The 25,513-nt window shown below is 44.2% G+C and overlaps 1 long non-coding RNA gene and 1 pseudogene across 1 annotated transcript, besides 2 other annotated features; one reads left to right on the top strand and one right to left on the bottom strand.

Moving 5' to 3' along the window:
* On the top strand, nt 937-1,595 carry RNF6P1 (ring finger protein 6 pseudogene 1; annotated as a pseudogene).
* Nucleotides 4,464-25,384, bottom strand: LOC105372804 (uncharacterized). Its single transcript, XR_937717.2, has 3 exons — nt 24,930-25,384; nt 7,996-8,196; nt 4,464-4,777 (listed from the first exon to the last, which is right to left on the bottom strand). It is a non-coding gene; the product is annotated as an uncharacterized LOC105372804 (long non-coding RNA).
* Nucleotides 15,087-15,311: a silencer, noted in NCBI's record as "fragment chr21:40731973-40732197 (GRCh37/hg19 assembly coordinates)". NCBI's record gives its function as "represses an EF-1alpha promoter that drives an FKBP-Casp9 reporter gene in an ReSE screen in HepG2 liver carcinoma cells {active_cell/tissue: HepG2}" and the evidence as "EXISTENCE:reporter gene assay evidence [ECO:0000049][PMID:32094911]".
* Nucleotides 23,510-23,714: a silencer, noted in NCBI's record as "fragment chr21:40723570-40723774 (GRCh37/hg19 assembly coordinates)". NCBI's record gives its function as "represses an EF-1alpha promoter that drives an FKBP-Casp9 reporter gene in an ReSE screen in K562 erythroleukemia cells {active_cell/tissue: K562}" and the evidence as "EXISTENCE:reporter gene assay evidence [ECO:0000049][PMID:32094911]".

The raw sequence follows: 25,513 nt of genomic DNA, 5'->3' as shown, positions 1-25,513 counted from the left end.
CAGTGGAAGAAGAAAAAGAATACAGCAGGTCCAAACTGCTACCAACACCATCCAACTATCACACTAGACTGTCAAGTTAAAAAAAAAAAAATCACCCTGTAGAAAATAGAAATTGGGACCGGGCACAGTGGCTCACACCTGTAATCCTAACACTTTGGGAGGCCGAGGCAGGAGGATCACTTGAGTTCAGGAGCTCTAGACCAGCCTGGGCAACATAGTGAGACCCCCATGTCTACAAAACATACAAAAATTAGCTGGACATGGTGGCACATGTCTATAGTCCCAGCTACTCAGGAGGCTGAAGAGAGAAAATCATTTCAGCTTTGGAGACGGAGGCTGCAGTGAGCCAAGATCACGCCACTGCACTCCAGTCTGGGTGACAGAGCAAGACCCTGTCAAAAAAAAAGGGGGGGAGGGGAAAGGGAAGTGGAGGGCAGGGGAGGGGACAGAAGTGGAGGGGAGGGGATAGAGATTGGGACAGTGTTACAAATGGATCTGAGCCCAGAGCAAAACTGTCAGAAAATGCAAATACCAATGAAAGCAGCAGCGGGGGCTTTTGTCAAACCACTTCTTGTTCAGAGCAGACAAGTACCAGGACTTCTGTCATAATAATCTTTCTTTTTTTTCTTTTTTTCTTTTTTTTTTTTTTTTTTGAGATGGAGTTTCGCTCTTGTTGCCCAGGCTGGAGTGCAATGGCTTGGTATCGGCTCACTGAAACCTCTGCTTCCCGGGTTCAAGCGATTCTCCTGCCTCAGCCTCCTGAGTAGCTGGGATTACAGGCACACACCAACACACCCAGCTCATTTTTGTATTTTTGTAGAGACAGGGTTTCACCATATTGGCCAGGCTGGTCTCGAACTCCTGACTTCAGGCGATCTGCCCGCTTCGGCTTCCCAAAGTGCTGGGATTATAGGTGTGAGCCACCGCACCTGGCCAACAATCTTTCTTCGTCGGACTTCAGAGAGCCAGGCTAACAAGCCCTTCATCGGTGGCTTTTATATCAATTTTAAACCAATCATGACTGAGTTTGGAGAGCTGAAGTCTCTTCAGGGAGACTACATCTCAGTCAGAGACTCAAAGGAACATCAGCACTGACCAGCAGTGTGATCAGAACTGAGGGAAGCAGGGTCAGTTACTGAGGGCAGCAAACGCAAGGCAGATTCAAGAGAGCACATCCAGAAGGCAGCACTGAAATGCAAGGTGAAAATGAGCTTGCCTCAACTCATTCTAAAACCTATGAAAACAGAGTCGACAAAGAGAGAAGGAATTTAGTGGGAACTGAAACTTTCCCTATTCTTAGCATTATCCACTTGGTTTTACTAGATGACAATAATGATGATCATATTGATGATTACACACAGGTTGAATTACAGAGCAGACTGACCATCTTTCCCCCAGGAACTAGGAAGCATCAGTATTCAGAGCGAATCAAGTAAAATCTGCAGTGTTTGTTTCAGTAGCTGACTGGCAGGAACTAAGCTCAGGCAATTCCTCACATGCACGCGTTTTACAGCCATCGTATTGCTCAGTAGCTGCGAGACACCTACAGTCATCCTGTATGTTGGCAGCCTGTTTGAGAATCCAGGATGGCTAACAAAGAATGAAGAATTGGTGTCTTTTGGAATACTGCATTTTAGTATAGCTGAATTTTTAAGCCTTTGTGTGTGTGTATAGCTAATCTGAAAGAAAAACAGAATGTAATATGAACTATTTTGCTATGCTTAACTAGTTTTTGATTGTTGTTGTTTGCTAGAGACAGGGTCTCGACTTGTCACTCAGGCTGTAGTGCAGTGGCATCACTATAGCTCACTGCAGCCTCGAACTCCTGGATTCATGCAATCCTCCCACCTCAGCCTCCCAAGTAGCTAGGACTACAGGTGTGCAGCACCACACCTGGCTAATTTTAATGAGGTTTTTAAAAAGTGTGTATAAAAGATAATATTTAAGGTGATGGATATCTCAATAAACCTGCTTTAATCTTTAACACTATATGAATGTATCAAATGATCAAATGGATCCCCAAAATATGTACATCTATTATGTACCAATACAAAAGATTCCAGGCCAGGTGGGGTGGCTCAGGCCTGCAGCCCAAACACTTTGAGAGGCCAAGGCAGGAGGACTGCTTGAGGCCAGAAGCTGGAGACCACTCTGGGCAACATAGAAAGACCCCCACCTTGGCCGGGCGCGGCGGCTCACGCCTGTAATCCCAGCACTTTGGGAGGCTGAAGCGGGCGGATCACAGGTCAGGAGATCGAGACCATCCTGGCTAACACAGTGAAACCCCGTCTCCACTAAAAAATACATAAAAGCCGGGCGTGGTGGCGGGCGCCTGTAGTCCCAGCTACCCGGGAGGCTGAGGCAGGAGAATGGAGTGAGCCCGGGAGGTGGAGCTTGCAGTGAGCCAAGATCGTGCCACTGCACTCCAGCCTGGGCGACAGAGCAAGACTCCATCTCAAAAAAAAAAAAAGAAAAAGAAAAAAAGAAAGACCCTCCATCTCTACAGTATAAAAGAATAAAATAAAAGGAGTCCAAGAAATAAATTAAATTATACATATAGAAGGGTTCTTGAAAGAACAAGAATTTAAATCTTTAAATAAAGTAAAATGTTATAAAATGGAAGTGTAGGCTGTGCACCGTGGCTCACGCCTATAATCCCAGCGTTTTGGGAGGCTGAGGTGGGCGATCACCTGAGGTCGGGAGTTTGAGACCAGCCTGGCCAGCACGGTGAAACCCCGTCTCTACTAAAAATACAAAAATTAGCCGGGCGTGGTGGTGGGCACCTGTTATCCCAGCTGCTTGGGAGGCTGAGACAGGAGAATTGCTTGAAACCGGAAGGCAGAAGTTGCAGTGAGCCGAGATCATGCCACTGCACTCCAGCTTGGTCAACAAGAGTGAAACTCTGTCTCAAAAATAAAAATAAAAATAAAAAAATAAAAAAAGAAGTTTAAGAACAAGCATTTATGCAACATTTTAAAATACAAATATTAAATTATCCTAAACGGCAGCACTATTTATATTGCTAGATGGTGTTGTGCGACATTGAATTATATGCTTTAAAATGGCTAATTGTATCTTCTATGAATTTCACCTCAGTTTGAAAAATATTGCTAAAACCAGATAACCTTTATTTATTTTTTATTTTTTGAGATGGAATCTCGCTCTGTTGCCCAGGCTGGAGTGCAGTGACACAATCTTGGCTCACTGCAACTTTCGCCTCCCAGGTTCAAGTAATTCTCCTGCCTCTCAGCCTTCCAAGTAGCTGGGATTACAGGCACGTACCACCATGCCCTGTTAATTTTTGTATTTTTAGTAGAGATGGGGTTTCACCATGTTGGCCAGGCTGGTCTCGAACTCCTGACCTCAAGTCATCCACCCACCTCGGCCTCCCAAAGTGTTGGGATTACAGGCATGAGCCACCACATCCGGCCCCAGATAACCTTTAATATGTTTTTATTTTAGTCCGTATTTTACACCAAGGCCTTCTGATTAGGTAAAGTTCAATAGGTTAAAAATTAATCTTATGGTTATTAGTGCAGCCAACTTTATTTAGACCATAAATTTTCACAGGCTTAGCACTATGCCCAGAAATTTATCTCTAAATAAACTTTCGTTTGCTTTTTAAATTTGTTTTTATTTTATGCCATGCCATCTTCGTTTTAAAAATAATTAAAATATTGAAAGTTTTTATTTTAAAATAGTTTCAAATTTGTAGAAAAGTTGTGGCCAGGCACAGTGGCTCAAGCCTGTAATTCCAGCACCTTGGGAGGTGAAGCCAGGAGAATCACTTGAGCCCAGGAGTTTGAGATCAGACTGAGCAGCATAGAGAGAGAGACCCTGTCTCTAAAAAATATTCTTTTTTCTTAATTAGCCAGGCATGGTGGTGCACACCTGTAGTCCCAGCTACTTGGGAAGCTGAGGTGGGAGGATTGCTTGAGCCCAGGAGCTCAAGGCTGCAATAAGTTGTGATTGCACCACTGCACTCCAGCCTGGGTGACAGAGCAAGACTCTGTCCCAAAATGGAAAGAAAGAAAGAAAAGTTGCAAAAAATAAAAATGGTGTCAAGAACATTCAATGTAGGCAGAGCTGGTGGTTCACACCTATAATCCAAGCACTTTGGGAAGCTAAGGTGAGAGGATCGCTTGAGGCCAGGAGTTCAAGACCAACCTAGGCAACATAGCAAGACCTTGTCTCAAAAAAAAAAAAAAAAATCCTTAATTTAGATTAACCTAGTTCATTTTACTTCATTTGCTCCTTCATGTTCTTTCTCTCCCTCTGTTAAGCAGAATACCATACACCAGTGTCAATCACTGAGAGAGAAACATCACACACTGATTACCAATCCCAAGGGAGGGCTCTAAACACCTCGTTAATTTCTGCTAAGATTCCTGCATTTGCTAGGAGATTTTGCACAAACCCAGCTGTCCGAGTATAAGTCCAGGGAGATAGAACACTTACACAAGTAAGGCAAAGCAACTTTATTACTCCCAGAAAGGCGGCAAAAGCCAACAGAAGCCTAGGATCCACGGTGAGCTGGTCCCCAAGCCTCAAGAAAGGTGCATAGGACAGAGGAAGTCTCATCTGCACGAGCTCCACTTCACACTGCAGCTGAGGGACTCAGAAAGCACACCACCCCCCAACTCTGGGTTTTATACTCTGGCCAGGACTTGACTTAACTGATCACAAGTGTTGCAGGACATCTGTTCTAGGAGGATCGTGGAGAGAGCCTGGGTTGTTCCTCTTTATCTCAGGATGTTGCAATCTTGGTACATTCTGCCTGGGAACCGCAAGCAAGAAGGGGAGAGCTGGGTTGACCAAGGTTCTTTGGGGACTTGTTCTCTGTTTCTCTCTCTCTCTCATTCTTTTCTCCTTCTCGCTCTCTCATTCTTTCTCTCTCTCTCTGTGTGTGTGTGTGTGTGTGTGTGTGTGTGTGTGTCACTAACAATGTACTCTTACATTTTTTTTGGAGACAAGGTCTTGCTCTGTCACCCAGGCTGGAGTGCAGTGGCGCAATCTTGGCTCACTACAACCTCTGTCTCCCAGGTTCAAGTGATTCTCCTGCCTCAGCCTCCGAGTAGCTGGGGTTACAGGCATGCGCCACCACTCCCAGCTAATTTTTGTATTTTTAGTAGAGACGGGGTTACACCATGTTGGCAAGGCTGGTCTCAAACTCCTGACCTCAGGTGATTCACCCACCTCAGCCTCCCAAAGTGCTGGGATTACAGGTGTGAGTCACTTCGCCCGGCCTCTTACATAATTTGTCAACTTCTGTAATGTTAACATTAATACAATACTTTAATCTGCTATTTGTGTTCCAATTTTGTCAACTGACTGCATAATTTCCTTTGTAGCATTTTTCTCCTTCAGTATAAGATCTAGGGTTGGCCAGGCGTGGTGGCTCATGTCTGTAATCCCAGCACTTTGGGAGGTCAAGGCGTGTGGATCACCTGAGGTCAGGAGTTCGAGACCAGCCTGGCCAACACGGTGAAACCCCGTCTCTATGACAAATACAAAAATGAGCTGGGCATGGTGGTGGACATCTGTAATCCCAGCTACATGGGAGGCTGAGGCAGGAGACTCGCTTGAACCCAGGAGGCGGAGGTTGCAGTGAGCTGATATCGAGCCATTGCACTCCAGCCTAGACAACGACAGCGAAACTCCATCTCAAAAACAAAAAAAAGATCCAGGGTCAGGTATTTTATTTAATTTACATGTCTCTTTGGCCTCCTTTAATCTGAAACATTTCCATATCTTTTCTTTGTTTTTTATTATATTGACATTTTTGAAGATACAGTTCTCCTGCCTATAAAAAAAAAAAAAAAGGAAAAAAAAAAAGGTTTATGAGCCAGAGCAGTGGATGTGCCTGTAGTCCCAGTACTTGGGAGGCTGCAGTGAGAGGATTACTAGAGCTGAGGAGTTGGTGACCAGCCTCGGCAACATAGTGAGACCCCATCCCTAAAAAAAAAGTATTTTGAGAAACTGTTTTGCAAAGTAGTATAACATAGTTATACCTTTTTTTTTGAGACGGAGTCTCACTCTGTCGCCAGGGTGGAGTGCAGTGGTGCGATCTCGGCTCACTGCAACCTCCACCTCCCAGGTTCAAGTGATTCTCCAGCCTCAGCCTCTCTAGTAGATGGGACTCGGAGAGATAATTTTTGTATTTTTGTAATTTTTGTATTTTTAGTAGAGATGGGGTTTCACCATGTTGGCCAGGACGGTCTTGATCTCTTGACCTCGTGATCCACCTGCCTCGGACTCAAAGTGCTGGGATTACAGGCAGGAGCCACCATGCCTGGCCAGTTATACTATTTTACATTCCTTCTAGCAGTGACTAACAGTGTACGAGAGTTCCAGTTCTGGCTGGGCACAGTGGCTTATGCCTGTAATCCCAACACTTTAGGAGGCTGAGTCGGGCAGATCACCTGAGGTCAGGAGTTCAAGACCAGCCTGGCCAACATGGTGAAACCCTGTCTCTACTAAAAATACAAAACTTAGCCGGCAGGTTAGTGGGCACCTGTAATCTCAGCTACTTGGGGAGACTGAGGTGAAAGAATTGCTTGAACCCGGGAGGCGGAGCTTGCAGTGAGCCGAGATTGCACCACTACACTCCAGCCTGGGTGACAGCAAGACTCTGTCTCAAAAAAAAAGAAATGTATTTCAAGAAACTGCTAACCTCTTTTGCAAAGTAGTATAGCATAGTTATACCTTTTTTTTTTTTTTTTTGAGATGGAGTCTCACTCTGTCGCCCAGGCTGTAGTGCAGTGGCGTGATCTCGGCTCACTGCAACCTCTGCCCCCTGGGTTCAAGCGATTCTCCTGCCTCAACTTCCCGAGTAGCTGGGACTACAGGCGCGCGCCACCATGCCCAGATAATTTTGTATTTTTAGTAGAGACAGGGTTTCACCATGTTGGCCAGGATGGTCTCGATCTCTTGACCTCGTGATCTACCCGCCTCGCCCTCAAAGTGCTGGGATTACAGGCGGGAGCCACAGCACCTGGCCAGTTATACCATTTTATATTCCCTCTAGCAGTGACTAACAGCGTACAAGAGTTCCAGTTCCGGCCGGGCGCAGTGGCTCACACCTGTAATCCCAGCACTTTGGGAGGCCAAGGCGGGTGGATCACCTGAGGTCAGGAGTTCAAGACCAGCCTGGCCAACATGGTGAAACCCTGTCTCTACTAAAAATACAAAAATTAGCCGGGCTGGTTGATGGGCACCTGTAATCTCAGCTACTTGGGGAGACTGAGGTGAGAGAATCACCTGAACCCAGGAGGCAGAGGTTGCAGTGAGCAGAGATCATGCCACTGTACTCCAGCCTGGGAGACAGAATGAGACTCCGTCTCAAAAACAAACAAACAAACCAACCAACCACAGGAGTTCCAGTTCCTCCACATCCTCACCAATACTTGGTAGTGTCAGTCTTTTCAATCTAGCCATTCTAATAAGGGGTAATGGTATCTCATTATAGTTTTCTGCTATATTTGCATTTCCCTAATGACTACTAATATTGAACACATTTTCATATGCTTGTCATTCTTATATCTTTGATGAAATATCTGTTCAGATCTTTGTTGCCCCTTTCTTTACTGAGTTGTTTATTATCTATTATAATGTTGAGTTTATTCTGTATACAAATCCTTTATCTGTAATATGTTTTGCAAACATTTTATCCCAGTCTGTGGCTTGTCTTTTCATTCTCTTAACACTGTCCTTTGAAGAGCGGAAGGTTGTTTTGTTGTGTTCCTGAGACAGGGTCTTGCTCTGTCACCCTAGTTACAGTGCAGTAGCTCAATCACGACTCACTGCAACCTCTGCCTCCCAGCCTCAAGCGATCCTTCCACCTCTGTCTCCCAGGTAGCTGGGACTAGAGATACATGACACTATGACCAGCTAATTTTTAAATTTTTTGTAGAGACAAGGTCTCATTATGTTTCCCAGGCTAGTCAGAGGCAGAAGATTTTAAGCTACGGTAAAAGAAAGTGGATCAGTGGTTACCTGGGGCTTCGGGAGTTATGGCCAGGATTGGCTGCAGATGGACAGGCGGGATCTTTTCCAGGTGATTTAAGTGTTCCAAAACTGGATTGTGGTGATGGTTGCACAGCCCTGTAGATTTACTAAGAATCCCCCAAGGCAGGTGCATCGCTTGAGCCCAGCAGTTTGAGACAGTCTAGGTAAGTAAATGGTGAAACCCCGTCTCTACAAAGAAATTTAAAATTATCCAGGCATGATGGCATACACCTGTAGTTCCAGCTGACTCGGGAGGCTACAGCGAGAGGATTGCTTGAGGCTTCAGTCCAGGAGGTGGAGGCTGCAGTGAGCTATAGTCACACCACTGCATTCTAGCCTGGGCAACAGAGTGAGACCCCGCCTCAAGAAGAGAAGAGACGAGGGGAGGGGAGGGGAAAGGGGGAAGGAGGAGGGGATGGGGAGGGGGAGGGGGAGGGAGAGGGAAGGGAAGAGAGGAGGGAAGGGAAGGGAGGAGGGAAGGGGGAAGGGAAGGAAAAAGGGAAGGGAAGGGAAGGGGGAAGAGAAGGGGGAAGGGAAGGGGGAAAAATATATTCCATTCTCAGAAAAAAATTAAATCATTCTTTCCAGCAGCATATCCAATTGGGTAGAAAAACATTATTTTTAAAAATGAGGCGGGGCGTGGTGGCTCACACCTACAATCCCAGCACTTTGGGAGGCCGAGGTGGGCAGATTACTTGAGACCAGGAGTTCAAGACCAGCCTGGCCAATATGGTGAGACCCCATCTCTACTAAAAATAAAAATAAATAGCAGGATGTGGTGGCGTGCACCTGTAATCCCAGCTACTTGGAAGACTGAGGCATGAGAATCTCTTGAACACGTGAGGTGGAAGTTGCAGTGAGCCGAGATTGTGCCACTGCACTCCAGCCTGGGCCCTGTCTCAGAAAAAATTAAATTAATTTTTTTAAAAAATGAGGCTGAGTATGATGGCTCACACCTGTAATCCCGGCACTTTGGGAGGCCAACATGAGATGATTCCTTGAGGTCAGGAGTTTGAGACCAGCCTGGCCAACATAATGAGAACCTGCCTCAACAAAATAAATAAAATAAGCTGAGGCCGGGTGCAGCGGCTCATGCCTGTAATCCCAGTACTTTGGGAAGCCAAGGCAGGCGGATCATCTGAGATCAGGAGTTCGAGACCAGCTTGGCCAACATGGTGAAACCCCGTCTCCACTAAAAATACAAAAATTAGCTGGGTGTGGTGGCAGGCACCTGTAATCCCAGCTACTTGGGAGGCTGAGGCTGGAGAATCACCTGAACCCGGGAGGTGGAGGTTGCAGTGAGCAGAGATTGTGCCACTGCACTCCAGCCTGGGTGATAGAGTGAGACTCTGTCTCAAAAAATAATAATAAATAAATAAGTTTAGTGGCCAAGTTTGGAGGCTTATATCTGTAATCCCAGCACTTTGGGAGGCCAAGATGAGAGGACTGGGTTTGGGATCAGCCTGGGCAACATAGCGAGACAGCGTCTCTAAAAAAAAAAAAAAAAATCTAATTAGTGGGCATGGTGGTGCACACCTGTAGTCCCAGCTACTCTGAAGGCTAAAGTGGGAGGATTACTTGAGCCCCGGAGACACAGCCTGCAGTGAGTGATGATCGCACCACTGAATGATTGTGCCACTGAACCCGGGAGGCAGAGGTTTCAGTGAGCCTGGGCAACAGAGTGAGACCCCATCTCAAAAAAAAAAAAAAAAGGAAGGAAATTCTGACATGCTACAACATGGATGAACCCCAGCAACATTATGCTAAGTGAAATAAACCAGTCACAAAAAAAAAAAAAACAAATATTGTACGATTCCACTTGTATGAGGTATCTAAAGTAGTCAAACTGAGAAACAGAAAGTGGAATAGTGGTTACCGGGGACTGGGGGGACGTGGACATGAGAAGTTGTTTAATGGGTAGAGTTTTGGAGATCTGTTCCACCGTAATATGAGTACTTAGCACTACTGAACTGGACAATTAAAAATCGTTAAGATGGTAAATGTTATGATACGTGTTTTTACAAGAATTACATTTTTCTCTAAAAAAAGATATTTTAAAAAAGATATTAAAGCCTTTTAGGTATCAGATACTTCACTCACTGCAGAGTAAAATATGATGATGAACCAAATATGCCCAGACCTTGTTCTCTTATGGCTTAACTAAACAACTGTAAGTACTGTAAACAATTATAAGCATGCAAAGCATTTTGAAGGGACACATAAGTTTATCTTGGTAACTGTCCACATCCTAGCTCCAAGTTGGATGATAGGTTTACAGATGCACATTATATTGTTTGTAAATAATATAAAACAAAGGAAGGATACGCATGAAATAAAAATGGGGTGTGTGCATTATTTAAGACTTTTTCAAAAAAGTAAGTCAGGCGTGGTGGCTCACGCCTGTAATCCCAGCACTTTGGGAGGCTGAGGTGGGCGGATCACCTGAGGTCAAGAGTTCAAGACCAGCTTGGACAACATGGTGAAACCCTGTCTCTACTAAAAATACAAAAATTAGCCAGGCACGGTGGCATGTGCCTCCCAGCTGCTCGGGAGGCTGAGGCAGGAGAATTGCTTGAACCCAGGAGGCAGGGGTTGTTGCAGTGAGCTGAGATTGCACCACTGCACTCTAGCCTAGGCAGCAGGGCAAGACTCCATCTCAAAAACAAAACAAAAAAGTAGTATGGAATCCTATTAAATACAGAAGGCCCTGATCTAGTGTGGAGATTGAGCATGCAAGGGTTAATAAGGGATTTCATATACTTCATTCTTTTCATCTCACTCCCATGGAAAAAATAGGCTAGACTGATTAATAGGTCTGTGTCAGAAAATTTCCAAAGAAAAATGCAACCTGTGATCTCCTTGCCTCCCCTACAGCCCCACGAGTGATACACTGAAGAGACAATTCTCCTCTTTTCTTTATAGGTTGGCTCAGAGATGAGAGAACACCCTGGAATGTTCCAAATTAAGTTTCACCAAACATTTTGAAAGTATTCAAAATAAACACACAAGTAAAATAGACTAACCTACAAGTCTAAGATTTCTCATTCCATTTAGAGCTATTAATGGAAAGAATAGCTTCGCTGGCCCAGGCAACATAACAGGCACATTTTGATAATGAGAGAGTCCTTTTTGGATCAAACCTAAATTTATGGTACTTCACACACAGTTCAGGGTGGTGAGCTGACCACATGGCAGAGTGCCATGGAAAAAGCATTTTGCAGCATGCAAATATGATCAATAAAACCAACAAGAAGATGATGCAAAATCCTGTCATAATAAAGACCTTGGCTGGGCCCGGAAGCCCATGCCTGTAATCCCAGGGCTTTGGGAGGCCAAGGTAGGAGGATCTCTTGAGCCCAGGAGTTTGAAATTACAGTGACTATGATCATACCACTGCATTTCAGCCTGAGTGATAGAGTAAGTCTCAAAAACAAAAAAAGAAAAATGTAAAAGTAGCATTTAGATGACATTTTTTTCTGCTTTTAGTTATTATCCTGGCCAACACTCCAAACCACAGACGTAGGGCAACATCTAATCAAACTTAAGGCAGCTTCCTCCTGCAGGCTTAAGAAGGGATCGCCCCTCAGGCTATGTCAGATACACATGTCTGTACCATTGCCTCTGCTTTTATAGCTCACCCGAGACAGGGAAACCTTTAGCTTGTTCATGTGATTTCAAGAGTCAGGCAGAACAAGTGCCCCTTAATATTTGAGTAGGTTTTGGGGGGTTTCACTCATGTCTTGAATATTAAATGGCTGCCCCTTAGAGGGAGTGATTATCCTTTGAAGCCACAAAAGCTGAGCCATATGGGAGAGAAGCAAGGGGCCTTTCCTTTCCATATTTGGAAAACCAGGCCTCATTTGTGATTAGGAGAGAACAATGTGGCCAATTTATGGCTGGCTTAGCGTTCTTTTTTTTTTTTTTTTTTTTTTTTTTTGAGACGGAGTCTCACTCTGTCGCCCAGGCTGGAGTGCAGTCGTGCGATCTCGGCTCACTGCAAGCTCCGCTTCCCGGGTTCACGCCATTCTCCTGCCTCAGCCTCCTGAGTAGCTGGGACTACAGGCACCCACCACCACGCCTGACTAATTTTTTGTATTTTTAGTAGAGACGGGGTTTCACCGTGCTAGCCAGGATGGTCTCGATCTCCTGACCTCGTGATCCACCCGCCTCAGGCTCCCAAAGTGCTGGGATTACAGGCATGAGCCACCGCGCCCCTCTGTGTTCTTTTTAAAATAACAATCAGCACTGTGGACTGTTAGAGGGATACATGTAACAACAGAAATCCAATCATCGTATCTAATGACAATTAATTACACAGTCATGTATCCATAAAGTTTGGAAACAGGCTAGAAACATATGCTGCACGGTGAGCTATATGTGTATATTGTGTTTGGGTGTCACTGGCCAGCTCATCCATCATAGTGATGATAGACAAGCTGTGTCAAGCCCTGTGTTTTTGCTCTCATTTGCATCCTTTGCTTCTCATCCTTCTGCAGCAGCCTGGATATCCAATACAGTGATGAGCGCTGAGCATTCACATGTTCTGACCATCACCTCCCTTCATACCTTCTCCTTGGCTCACAGGCTTGGGTCACACCTACCCCTATTTATCTTCTGTCTTCATCACGTGGACAAACCAGCTCAGACCCTGGGCTTCCTGTGAAACAGTGTGGTCCAGCACGGCAGTGTAGGATCCAGAGCTCTTCCCATTTCTTCCTTTCCCTTCCACTCTCTTCCGTTGGCTTCGTTTCTGCCCTGCCACTCACTGAAACTGCTTCATCAGGACGATGGGTGACATCCCTAGTTGCCAGGTGTAGGCATTTTATGTTCCCCATTTGACCCATCCACACGCCTGAGGTTTCAGCTCTCGCCCGAACATCTCTTTTCTTTCAAATATTTCCTTCCTCCTAAGCTCCAGGCCTGTAGCTGCAACTGCCTACCGGACCCGGATGTTTCCCAAAATGTAATGCATCAACACCAGACCTACCAGCTTCCTCTCAAACTCTCTGCATCCCTGGCAGGGCAAATGGCTCCCCATCCACACAGCCTGGCGGATACTGCTGAATACCAGGCCACATCAACTCTTCTCCTTGTCCTTTGTGACACAGCCCTCATTTTGTTCAGGTTTCCACTGTCTCCACTCCTGGCCCAACTCCAGGGGTGGGCCTGATTTGGCCAAAGGGTATCCGAGTCCCCCTGACTGTGACTACATTCTAAGCAGTAAAAAAAGCCAATCGATTGACACTCTGAGAAAAGAGACATTATTTGTCTGGATGCTGTAATCTGGATATGACACCTAGAATTTCCATTTCAGACAGAGAAAGAAGCCAACTCAGAAAGAGGCACAACAAAAGAGGAAAAAAAGAAACTGGGACCGGGTGTGGTGGCTCACACCTGTAATCCCAGCACTTTGGGAGGCTGAGGTGGGTGGATCACCTAAGGTCAGGAGTTTGAGACCAGCCTGGCCAACATGGTGAAACCCCATCTCTACTAAAAATACAAAAATTAGCCAAGTGTGGTGGCGGCCGCCTGTAATCCCAGCTACTTGGGAGGCTGAGGCAGGAGAGTCACTTGAATCTAGGAGGCGGAGGTTGCAGTGAGCCAAGATAGCGCCACTGCACTCCAGCCTGGGCGACAAAACTGAACCTCCGTCTCAAAAAAGAAAAAAAAATAACTTGGGACTGTGATAACCCATTAAGCTGCTGCATCTATGACCCAGGGCAAGCCTATTATGAATCCCACATCCATCTTCTATTGTTGGAGATGATCTCCTTTCTCGTGGTTGATGCTAATTTGGGTTCTATTGCTCACAGCCAAAAGTCTCTGTGCTCTGTCTCACATTAGATTCACTGAAGAGTCCTGTCAGTCCCCACCAAAATATATCCCCAATTCACCACCACCACCACTGATCCCCATCCCTACAGCCAAGATCCGAGTCATTCATTGCCTAAGTGAATTTACTATGTACCCCTGGTCTCCTCTGTCTCAAGATAACCCGATCCTACATCTCAACCTCTCAGGCTAAACTCTGCGTTTTCTTCCTTCAAGGCATGTCAAAGTATCCTGTTTACTGGTTTATTGTCTGTCTTCTCAAGCTAGAGCACAAGTTCTATGAGGACAGGAAGCTTGACTCTTTTTTAGGGGGGACAGGATCTCTCTCTGTCACCCAGGCTGGAGTGCAGTGGCACAATCTCAGCTCACTGCAACCTCTGCCTTTCAGGTTCAAGTGATTCTCCAGCCTCAGCCACCTGAGTAGCCGTGATTACAAGCACGTACCACTATGCCCAGCTAATTTTGTTCTGCTACTTTTTGTAGAGACAGGGGTCTCCCTGTGTTGCTCAGATTGGTCTTGAACTCTTGGGCTCAAGCAATCCTCCTGCCTTGGCCTCCCAAAGTGCTAGGATTACAGGCAGGAGCCACTGCACCCTGCCAACTCTTCTTTTTAAACCACTTTATTCAGGTATGATTAACATATCAAAACCATACATATTGAATGTAAACATCTGGATGAGATTAGGGATAAGTATACACTTGGGAAACCATTATCACCATCATGGCCATAAACATACTCATCCCCTCGCAGTTTCACTGCACCTCCTTTATTATGATCTCTGCTATTTTTGTGACAAAAACACTTAACATATTAAGATCCACTCTCTTAGCAAACTTTTAGTATACAATACTTTTTTAAAAAGAGATAGGGGTTTCCTTACGTGGCCCAGGCTGGTTTTCTCAAAGTCTTGAACTCAAGTAATCCTCCCCGCTTCAGCCTTTCCCCATTGCGTGTCCTTGTCAAAAATTAGTTGTCAGCTGGGCACAGTGGCTCACACCTGTAATCCCAGAATTTTGAGAGGCCAAGGTGGGTGGATCACCTGAGATCAGGAGTTTGAGACCAGCCTGACCAATATGGTGAAACCCCATCTCTACTAAAAATACAAAAATTAGCCGGGCGTGGTTGCGTGCGCCTGTAGTCCCAGCTACTTGGGAGGCTGAGGCAGGAGAATTCCTTGAACCCAGGAGGCAGAGGTTGCAGTGAGCAGAGATAGCGCCAATGCACTCCAGTCTGGGCGACAGAGCGAGAATCCCTCTATTAAAAATGGAAAATCATTTGTCCGTGAGAGGCTGAGGCAGGACGATGGCTTGAGCCCAGGAGTTTGAGACTAGGCTGGGCGACATAGTGAGGCCCTGTTTCCACAAAAAAATTTAAAAATTAGCCAGACATAGGGATATGCACCTATAGTCCAGCTCCTCAGGAGGCTGAAAGGAGAGAATTATTTGAGCCCAGGAGGTTGGAGGCTACAGTAAGCCATGATCACGTCACTGCACTCCAGCCTGGACAACAGAGAGAGACCCTGTCTCAAAAAAAAGAAAGGAAAGAAGGAAGTTACCAGAGGAGGAATGTGTCCATCCTAGGTACAATACTTATTTATAGATAGGATTAAAAAAAGATCATGGGGAGATGTGCTCTGCTACAAGGATTTGTGATAAATGATTAATTTTCCTAATTACTACATTTTGCAAGAATTGATATTATTATCTTTAAAGCAAAATTAGGAACGCTTCTGTTCTCAAGATATTGGGATATCAGGACATTCCTAAGTCTGGGTCACTTTAGTAAACATTATCAATCTGTTCCTTTAACCGTAAACATCTAGAGGCTAGAAATACCTGACTTTCTGGGAATGCAGCTCAGCATGTCCCAGCCTCATTTTACACAGCCCTCAAGATGGAGTCGCTCTGGTTCAAACGCCTCTGACATATTTCTCCCCTCCCTTTACAAGAGGACCCTTAACCCTAAAGTTTGCAGAGGGACAAAGATCTGTCTTCTGTAACTCCTTCAGGCTGAATAGGGGTGACGATATTCCTGCCTAATTATTGGGTCTCTTGCATTCAGGGTAGAGAGGAGCTCAGTCAGAAAGCATCAGTATGATGAGGGGTGTTCATAACTCTGAGTTCCAACAAAAGGTCATATCTGGAAGCTTAATAAGGGTCCAATTTAAGTAAGCTTGTCTTGCATTCCTACACGAAGAATATAACCGCAATATATTCCACAATAGCAAAGCAAAATAAGTAAAATAATTCCAAGTAAACTAAACAGAAAGGCCTTCTAAGAACTGGGCAGTTGTTGGAACTAAGCCGATATAGGGTCGACTGATAGCGCATCAATGGCAGAGATATGAGTGTCTAAAGCTTTCATAGCCTGAGTAACGTTATGTGAATAGTCTGGAACATACACACAACATTTAGTTTTGATCAAAACACAAGTTCCTCCTGGGGCGGCTGTTAAAATGTCCAAAGCCATACGGTTTTGTAAGGGTACCTGCCTAATCTGAGAAGTTTCCTCAGGATGGTAAGGGCATGGCAGCATGGCATGTATTACTGAAAGCTGCAACCGTGTGCTCGGCTAAGGCTTCAGCTTGTAATTTGGTAGCTGCCTGTGAGGAAAACATAGCCATGGGGTAGAACCACCAAGATGCTTGTTTTTGTCGCCTATGGCGAGCCTTTACAATTTCCCAGTTAGATGGGAGAGAGTCCAATTTGGTGAGGATACATCCCGGGAGATAACGGTGACCACACATACACCTTCCGGTCCAGTTAGAAGGTAAGTACGGCCAGCCATGAGTTCTGCAAGCCCATAACCATCCCCAAGGAGAAGGGTAGGCATCCATTTTTGGCAAATTATGTTGCCATACCATCCACATCTGGTCTGCTAATAAAAGGGTCTCACTACATTGTTGAGGTGGCAAAAATCCCATATCACAGGTTCTAGTCTGGTGGTGACTATTATTGTGCCTTTCAAAACATAGAGGTGCTTCACCTGATACCTGTATGCCTCAGCCTCCCAAGTAGCTGGAATCACAGGCATGCACAAGCATGCCTGGCTAATTTTTGTGTTTTTAGTAGAGATGGTGTTTCACTGTGTTGGCCAGGCTGGTCTGAAACTCCTGACCTCAAGTCATCTGTCAGCCTCAGCCTCCCAAAGTGCTGGGATTACAGCTGTCTTCTGCCCAAGTCCAATCTAAAGTTGAGGTGGAATTTAGTTGTTTCCTAATTAGATTAAAAATGTGCTGGCCAGGCACAGTGGCTCATGCCTGTAATCCCAGCACTTTGGGAGGCCAAGCAGGGCAGATCACTTGAGGTCATGAGCTCAAGACCAGCCTGGCCAACATGGCGAAACCCTGTTTCTACTAAAAAAAAAAATAAAAATAAAAATAAAAAAAAGACAAAATTAGCCGGGCATGGTAGCAGGTGCCTGTAATCCCAGCTACTCCAGAGGCTGAGGCAGGAGAATCGCTTAGAACCCGGGAGGCAGAGATTGCAGTAAGCCGGGGTCACACCACTGCATTCTAGCCTGGGCAACAGAGAGATACTCTGTCTCAAACAAAAACAAACAAAAAAAAGAAGTGCCTTTTGCCTCCCGCCATGATTCTGAGGCCTCCCCAGCCACATAGAACTGTAAGTCCAATTAAACCTGTTTTTCTACCCAGTCTCAGGTATGTCTTTATCAGCAGCGTGAAAATGGACTAATACAACTCCCTACCGCACGTGGCACAACCAACTCTTCAAAAGTTGAATGAATTAGGCTACAGAGTTTTGCCTCATCCGCCATATTCACCTGACCTCCCGCCAATAGACTACCACTCCTTCAAGCATCTCGACAACTTTTTGCATGAAAAACACTTCCACAACCAGCAAAATGCAGAAAATGCTTTCCAAGAGTTCACCGAATCCCAAAGCATGGATTTTTTACACCAAAGGAATGACAAACTTGTTTCTCATTGGCAAAAATGTGTTGATTGTAATGGTTCCTATTTTGATTAACAAAGATGTGTTTGAGCCTAGTTATAATTATTTAAAATTCATGGTCTGAAACCGCAATTACTTTTCCACCAGCTTAGATTCTATTTGCATTTATGTTTATCAGGGATATTGGCCTGTAATGTTCTTTTCTTACAGTGTCCACGGCTGGCTTTGGTATTAAGGCAATGATGGGCTCATAAAATGAGTTTAGAAACGCTCCTTTTTTTTCAGTTTTTTGGAAGACTTTGAGAAGGATTGGCATTAATTCTTCATTAAATGTCTGGTAAAATTGACCAGTGAAGCAATCTGATCATGGGCTTTTCTTCATTGGGAGATTTTGATTACTGATTCAATCTCCTTACCCATATTGATCCGTTTAAATTTTTTCTTTCTTCATGGTTCAGTCTTGGTAGGATGTACGTTTCTAGGAATCTATTCATTTCTTCTAGGTTATGCAAATTGTTGGCATGTAATTATTAATAGTAGTATCTTATGAGCCTTTGTATTTCTGTGGTATCTGCTGTAATGTCTCTTCTTTCTTTTATAATTTTATCTATTTGCGTGTTCTTTTATCCTTAGGCTAGCTAAAGGTTTGCCAATCTTGTTTATCTTTTTAAAAATCCAACTATTACTATCATTGATTTTGTTTTTTCTTTAGACGGAGTCTCACTCTGTCCTCCAGGCTGGAGTGCAGTGGCACGATCTCAGCTCACTGCAACCTCTGCCTCCCAGGTTCAAGCGATTCTCCTGCCTCAGCCTCCCGAGTAGCTGGGACTATAGCTGCGCGCCACCATGCCCAGCTAATTCTTGTATTTTTAGTAAAGACGGCGTTTCACCATGTTGGCCAGGATGGTCTCAATCTCCTGATATCGTCATCCACCCGCCTCGGCCTCCCAGAGTGCTGGGATTACAGGAGTGAGCCACTGCGCCTGGCCATATCATTGATCTTCTGTATTGTTTTTCTATTCTCTATTTCATTTATTTCAGCTCTCATCTTTATTATTTCCTTCATTCTGCTAACCTTAGTTTTTGTTTTTCCTTTTTTAGTTCCTTGAGGTGAATATTAAGATGTTTGAGATCTCTTTTTTTTCTTTTTTTTTGAGATGAAGTCTCGCTCTATCACCCAGGCTGGAGTTCAGTGGTGCAATCTCGGCTCACTGCAAGCTCTGCCTCCCGGGTTCACGCCATTCTCCTGCCTCAGCCTACCGAGTAGCTGGGACTTACAGGCGCCCACCACCATGCCTGGCTAATTTTTTTTTTTTTTTTAGTAGAGACGGGGTTTCACTGTGTTAGCCAGGATGGTCTCAATCTCCTGACCTCGTGATCTGCCTGCCTGGGCCTCCCAAAGTGCTGGGATTACAGGCGTGAGCCACCGTGCCTGACCTCTTTTTTTCTTAATGTAGGCGTTTAGTGCAATAAATGTCCCTCTTTGAACAGCTTTTACTGCATCCCGTAAGTTTTGGTATGTTGTGTTTCCATTTTAATTTGTCTCAAGATTTTTTTTCTTATTTGATTTCTTCTTTGATCTATTGGTTGTTTAGGAGTGTGCTATTTAACTTCCACATATTTGTGAGTTTTTCAATTTTCCTCCTATTATTGATTTCCAGTTTCATAGTATTGTGGTGAGAAAAAAGATATTTGATATAATTTCAATCTTCAGGGCTGTGTGTGGTGGCTTATGCCTGTAATCTCAGCACTTTCAGAGGCCAAAGCGGGCAGATCACTTGAGGTCAGGAGATGGAGACCAGCCTGGACAACATGGTGAAATCCTGTCTCTACTAAAAAATACAAAAATTAGCCAGGCATGGTGGTACATGCCTGTAATCCCAGCCTCCCTGGAAGGCTGAGACAGGAGAATCACTTGAACTCGGGAGGCAGAGATTGCAGTGAGCCGAGATTGTGCCACTGCACTCCAGCATGGGCAGCAGAGCGAGACTCCGTCTCAAAAAATAATAATAATAATTTCAATTTTCTTAAATTTGTTTAAACTTTATAAAAGGAAAGTTTTGTTTCGCTGCCCAATATATGATCTATCCTAGGAAATGTTACATGTGCATTTGAGAAGATGTGTGTTCTGCTGCTGTTAGATGGAATGTTCTGTGTATGTCCGCTCTATTGGTTATAGTGGTTGTTCAAGTCCACTGTTTCTCTTTTTTGTCTAGATTATCTATCCATTGTTGAAAGTGAAGTATTCAAATTTCCCACTATTATTGTATTGTTGTCTATTTCATCCTTCAATTCCATTAATATTTGTTTTATACATTTAGGTGTTCTAATGTAGGGTGCATACATATTTACAATTCTTATATTCTCTTGATCATTTGACCCTTCATCACACAATGATCTTTTTTGTCTCTTGTGACATCTTGACTTAAAGTATATTTTTTTGATGGTATAACCACTCCTGCTCTCTTTTGATTACCATTTGCATGGAGTATCTTTTTCTATCCCTTCACTTTCAGCCTATGTCTATCTTTAAATTTTTATTCATTCAGTCATTCTATGTCTTTGTTTTTTGGAGATTAAGTCTCACTATGTTGCCCAGGCTAAAGTGTAGTGGCTATTCTCAGGAACACTTACAGCATACTACAGCCCCAAACTCCTGGCCTCAAGGGATTCTCCTGCCTCAGCCTTCTAAGCAGCTGACAGCTGAGATTACAGGCACACACCACTATGCCTGGCTCACTCTATGTCTTTTGATTGGAGAAATGAATCAATTTTCATTTAAGGTAATTAGTGATATAGGAGGATTTACCACTACCATCTTGTTCATTGTTTTCTGTTTGGTAGTTCCTTTGTTTTTTTTTTTCCTTCTTTTGAGATGCAGTCTCAGTCTGTCACCCAGGCTGGAGGGTAGTGGCACGATCTCGGCTCACTGCAAACTCTGCCTCCTAGGTTAAAGTGATTCTCCTGCCTCAGCCTCCTGAGTAGCTGGGATCATAGGCATGTGCCACCATGCCTGGCTAATTTTTGTATTTTTAGTAGAAACGGTGTTTCACTGTATTGGCCAGGCTGGTCTTGAACTCCTGACCTCCAGTCATCTGTCAGCCTCAGCCTCCCAAAGTGCTGGGATTACAGGCGTGAGCCACCACGCCTGGCCACCTTTGTTTCTTTCTTCTCTTACTACTTCCTTTTAATGTCATGATTTTTGTGGTGGCATGCTTTGATTATTTTATCTTTGTCTTTTGTGTATCTACTACCAGTTTTTGCTTTGTGATTACCATGAGGCTTACATAAAACATCTTACACTTATAACAGTCAAAGCTGATATTTTCAATTGCATATAAAAGTTCTGGCTGGGCGCAGTGCTCATGCCTGTAATCCCAGCACTTTGGGAGGCCAAGGCGGGTGGATCACGAGGTCAGGAGATCGACACCATGCTGGCTAACATGGTGAAACCCCGTCTCTACTAAAAAAATACAAAAAAAATTAGCCAGGCGTGGTGGTGGGTGCCGGTAGTCCCAGGTACTCAGGAGGCTGAGGCAGGAGAATGGTGTGCACCTGGGAGGCAGAGCTTGCGGTGAGCCAAGATCACGCCACTGCACTTCAGTCTGGGAGACAGAGTGAGACTCCGTCTCAAAAAAAAAAAAAAAAAAAAAGCTCTACACTTTTACTTCTTCCCTCCCACATTTATTTTATTGATATCACAATGTATATCTTTTATACTGTGTAATCACTAACAATTTTTATAGTTATATAATAATACTTTTGTCTTTTTTTATACTAGAATTAAAATTTATATGCCACCATTACAGTATGAATATTCTGAATTTGATTATACTTACCTTTACCCGTGAGTTTTATACCTTCATATGTTTTCATGTTGCTAATTAGCATCCTTTCATTTGAACTTGAACAACTCTGTTTAGCATTTCTTCTAAAGCAGGTCTAGTGGTGATGAACTCCTTCAGCTTTTGTTTGTCTGGGAAGTCTATCTCTGCTTGATTTCTGACAGCTTTGCCAAGTATAGTATTCTTTCCTGGCACTAAGAGTACTTAGTTCTTTCAGCACTTTGAATCCCACTTTCTCCTGGCCTGCAAGATTTCTGCTGAAAAATTTGCTTATAGTTTACAGTGGCTTTCTTGTATGTGATGAGTCACTTTTCTTACGTTGCTTTCAAGATTTTTTTATTTTTTTTTTTGAGACAGAGTCTCATTCTGTTGCCCAGGCTGGAGTGCAGTGGCACAATCTCAGCTCACTGCAACCTTCGCCTCCTAGGTTCAAGCGATTCTTGTGCCTCAGCCTCCTGAGTAGCTGGGATTACAGGCATGCACCACCACACCCAGCTAATTTTTGTATTTTTAGTAGAGACAGGGTTTCACCATTTTGTCCAGGCTAGTCTTGAACTCCTGGCTTCAAATGATCCATCCACCTCAGCCTCCAAAAGTGCTGGGATTACAGGCACAAGCCACTGTGCTCAGTCCAAGATCCTTTGTGTTTGACTTTTGACAAGTTGATTATGTGTCTCAAGAACCTCATTATGCTCAAGTATTTTCAGTATTATAGGCTTCATGGGGATGGATGTTTGTTTTCCTCTCCAGATTTGGGAATTTTTCTGTCATTATTTCCTCAAGTGTAAGTTTTCCATCCCTTTCTCTTTCTGTGCTCCTTCTTGGATTCCCATAACGCACATATTGGCTGCATTGAGTTGTCCCATAAGTTTCATAAACTTTCCTCACTCATTTTCATTCTTCTTTTCACTGAAAATGTTTGAGGTGATAAATGTTATATGTACTTTGTCACAATTTTTAACAATGTTTGTTCCATCTATATGGTGGAATACAATGCAGTAATACAAAAAAAGAATAATTTGTAAAGAACTGATAAAAAACAATCTCTATTGTTAAGTGAAAATGCATGGGTACCAAACAGTGTAAAAATAAAGGAGGAAGAAAAGAACATATATTAATTTGCTTCCACAAAATATCTCAAGAGGGATACCTAAGAAGCAGCAACATTGGTTTCTTCTTAGAAGTAGATAGCCAGGGGGAACAGAAGCAGAAGGCAGACTTCTCTGGAAATTTTTTTGTTCCTTTGGAATTTTTTTTTCCTTTAAGACAGGATTTCACTCTGCCACCCAGGCTTGAGTGCAGTGGACTGCACAATCATAGCTCACTGCAGCCTCGACCTCCTGGGCTCAAGTGATCCTTCCACCACAGCGTTTTGAGTAACTGGAAATGCACGTGTGTGCCACACACCCAGCTAATTTTTTTTTTTTTAATTTTGTAGAGACGGGGTCTTGTGTTGTTGCCCAGAATGGAATCTTTGGAATTTGAATCACAGAAACACATCGTCCAAAACTAAATGAAAATGTAAAAGGTGATATCTATATATAACCTACACATATATGCGGGCATCACAAACTAAAATTCCTCCAGAAGCCCAGTAGGAAATACAAAGGAGTGAAATCAGCAGGTCTGGAACCTTGGCAGCTGGAGAAAGAACACCTCCTTACAAGATACAAGGTCAAGTGCAGTCTGTGGAACGCACGCCCAAAGGACGCCAAGAGAAGTGGAAGAGCTAAATTTGTAAGTGAAAATTTCTGACTCTGACATGTTGAAAAAATACTTCACTATAGGACAGGAGCGATGGCTCACGCCTGTAATCCCAGCACTTTTGGAGGCTGAGGCGGGCAGATCACGAGGTCAGCAGATCGAGACCATCCTGGCTAACACGGTGAAACCCTGTTTCGACTAAAAATACAAAAAATTAGCTGGGCATGGTGGCGGGCGCCTGTAGTCCCAGCTACTTGGGAGGCTGAGGCAGGACAATGGTGTGAACCCAGGAGGCGGAGCTTGCAGTGAGCTGAGACTGCACCACTGCACTCCAGCCTGGGTGACAGAGCGAAACTCCGTCTCAAAAAAACAAAACAAAACAAAAAAAAACTTATATATATCCAGAAATGTATACATAGGTGAAAAGCTCAATTAGTATTCATGAAGTGAACACAGTGCAACCAACATCCAGATCAAGAAATCGAGCATGAATAGCCAGCCCCTCAAATTTTTCCATTGCTCTCTCCTCCAGTCGCTAGCTCCCCACCTCAACCCCAACCAGGAAGCACTAACCTGACTTCTAACAGACTGGATTAGTTTTGCCTGCTTTTGTACGTTACATGAATACAATCACACAGTATACACACTTTTGGATCTGGTATCTTTCTCTCAACATTATGCTAGTAAAATTAACCCACATTGTTGTATGTAGTTGCATATGGGTTATTTTCATTGCTGACGGTCTTCCATTTATTCATCTATTCTTCTGTTGACTGGCGTTTAGGTTGCTCTCTGTTTGGGCTTATAACAAATTTTTCGGCTACAAATATTCTATTTCATGTCTTCTGGTGAAAATATATAAGCATTTTTGTTGTGTACCTTTCTAGGAGTGGAATGACTGAGTCCTGAAAGTGTCTGTTTAGGTTTAAAACATACTGCCAATTGGACATGGTGGCACATGCCTGTAGTTCCAACCACTTGGGAACCTGAGGCAGGAGGATTGCTTGAATCCAGTTCTGGGCTATAGTGTGTTATGCTGATCAGGTCGTTAGCATCATTATGGTGACTTTCCACGGAGCAAAAGACCCACAGGTTTGCCTATGAAGGGGTCAGGTCAGAAACGGAGCAGGTCAAAACCCCCATGCTGATGAGTAGTGGAATCTACTGCCAAATAGTTTTTCATTTGAGTTCTGGCTGCTCCATTTGTTTGTGTTGGCAACTTAAAAAAAACTAGGCCAAATAAAACATCTGTGGACCATCAGTTGTCACCTCTGGCCTAGCGCATCTTCGGTTCTTATGGGAGAAAGTTCTTTATGAGGTAAGTCCAAAAGCATAGAGTTCGCTTGCTTAAGACCTTGCAGTATCCCTCAATCTTTGGATAATGATCGAACTTCATGACGGGCTGCTCTTCTTTTTTTCTGCCTCTTTTCCCTGATCTTTACGTCCATTTTTCGTATCTCCATCCCTGCCACTTTAAAGGTCTTGGTGGGCTGCCACACTCTAGCAAGTCAGCATGCCTTGAAATATGCTGACCCCCCCTGCCGATGGCTTCCCCTTTCTTTACTAGGCCAATTGGGTACTTTCTCTCCCCACTAAATTACTAGACCCAGTGCTTGGGATACAAACCTGGATTCTCTCTACCCCAGGGACTTCACGGTGCCTGCCACAGGGCAGGTGCTCAGTACATGCTTGTGCCACAAACTTGGGTACTCTCTGATGTTGAATTTTTTTAAGGTAATCCATGCAGATAGGAAAGTGAAAAAAAATTACACACGAGAAAAGGGAAATTTTACCCTCAATCTTCCCACTTTTCCCCAGAGGCAACCGCTGGTACCACTTCCTTGTGTATTCTTCCTGAGATATATATGGAATGTATAAGGATATATATTCAATCAATGCTATGGAGAAAAAAAAACAGCCCTCTGGGGGTCCGCGAGTGCTGGAGACGGTCGCGCACGGCTCTCAGGAGCTGCAATCTGAGAGCTGCCCTACTCTGGGCCCAGAAACGACCCTCGTGCACCTGCAGTCCTCCAGGGAAATCTGAAGAAAGTTCCACAGCTTGGATCCCCAGCACTTTGGGAGGCCGAGGCGGGAGGATCGCTTGAGCCCAGGAGTCGGAGACCATGCTGTGCAACATAGTGAAACCCCCTCTCTACAAAAAATACAAAAGTTAGCTGGGCAAAATGGTGCCCTGTGGTCCCAGCTACTCG

This window comes from Homo sapiens, chromosome 21 (genome assembly GCF_000001405.40).
Source record: "Homo sapiens chromosome 21, GRCh38.p14 Primary Assembly".
NCBI lineage: Eukaryota > Metazoa > Chordata > Mammalia > Primates > Hominidae > Homo > Homo sapiens.
Note: the sequence above shows the minus strand (reverse complement) of the source record. Positions and strands in the feature narration are given on the sequence as shown.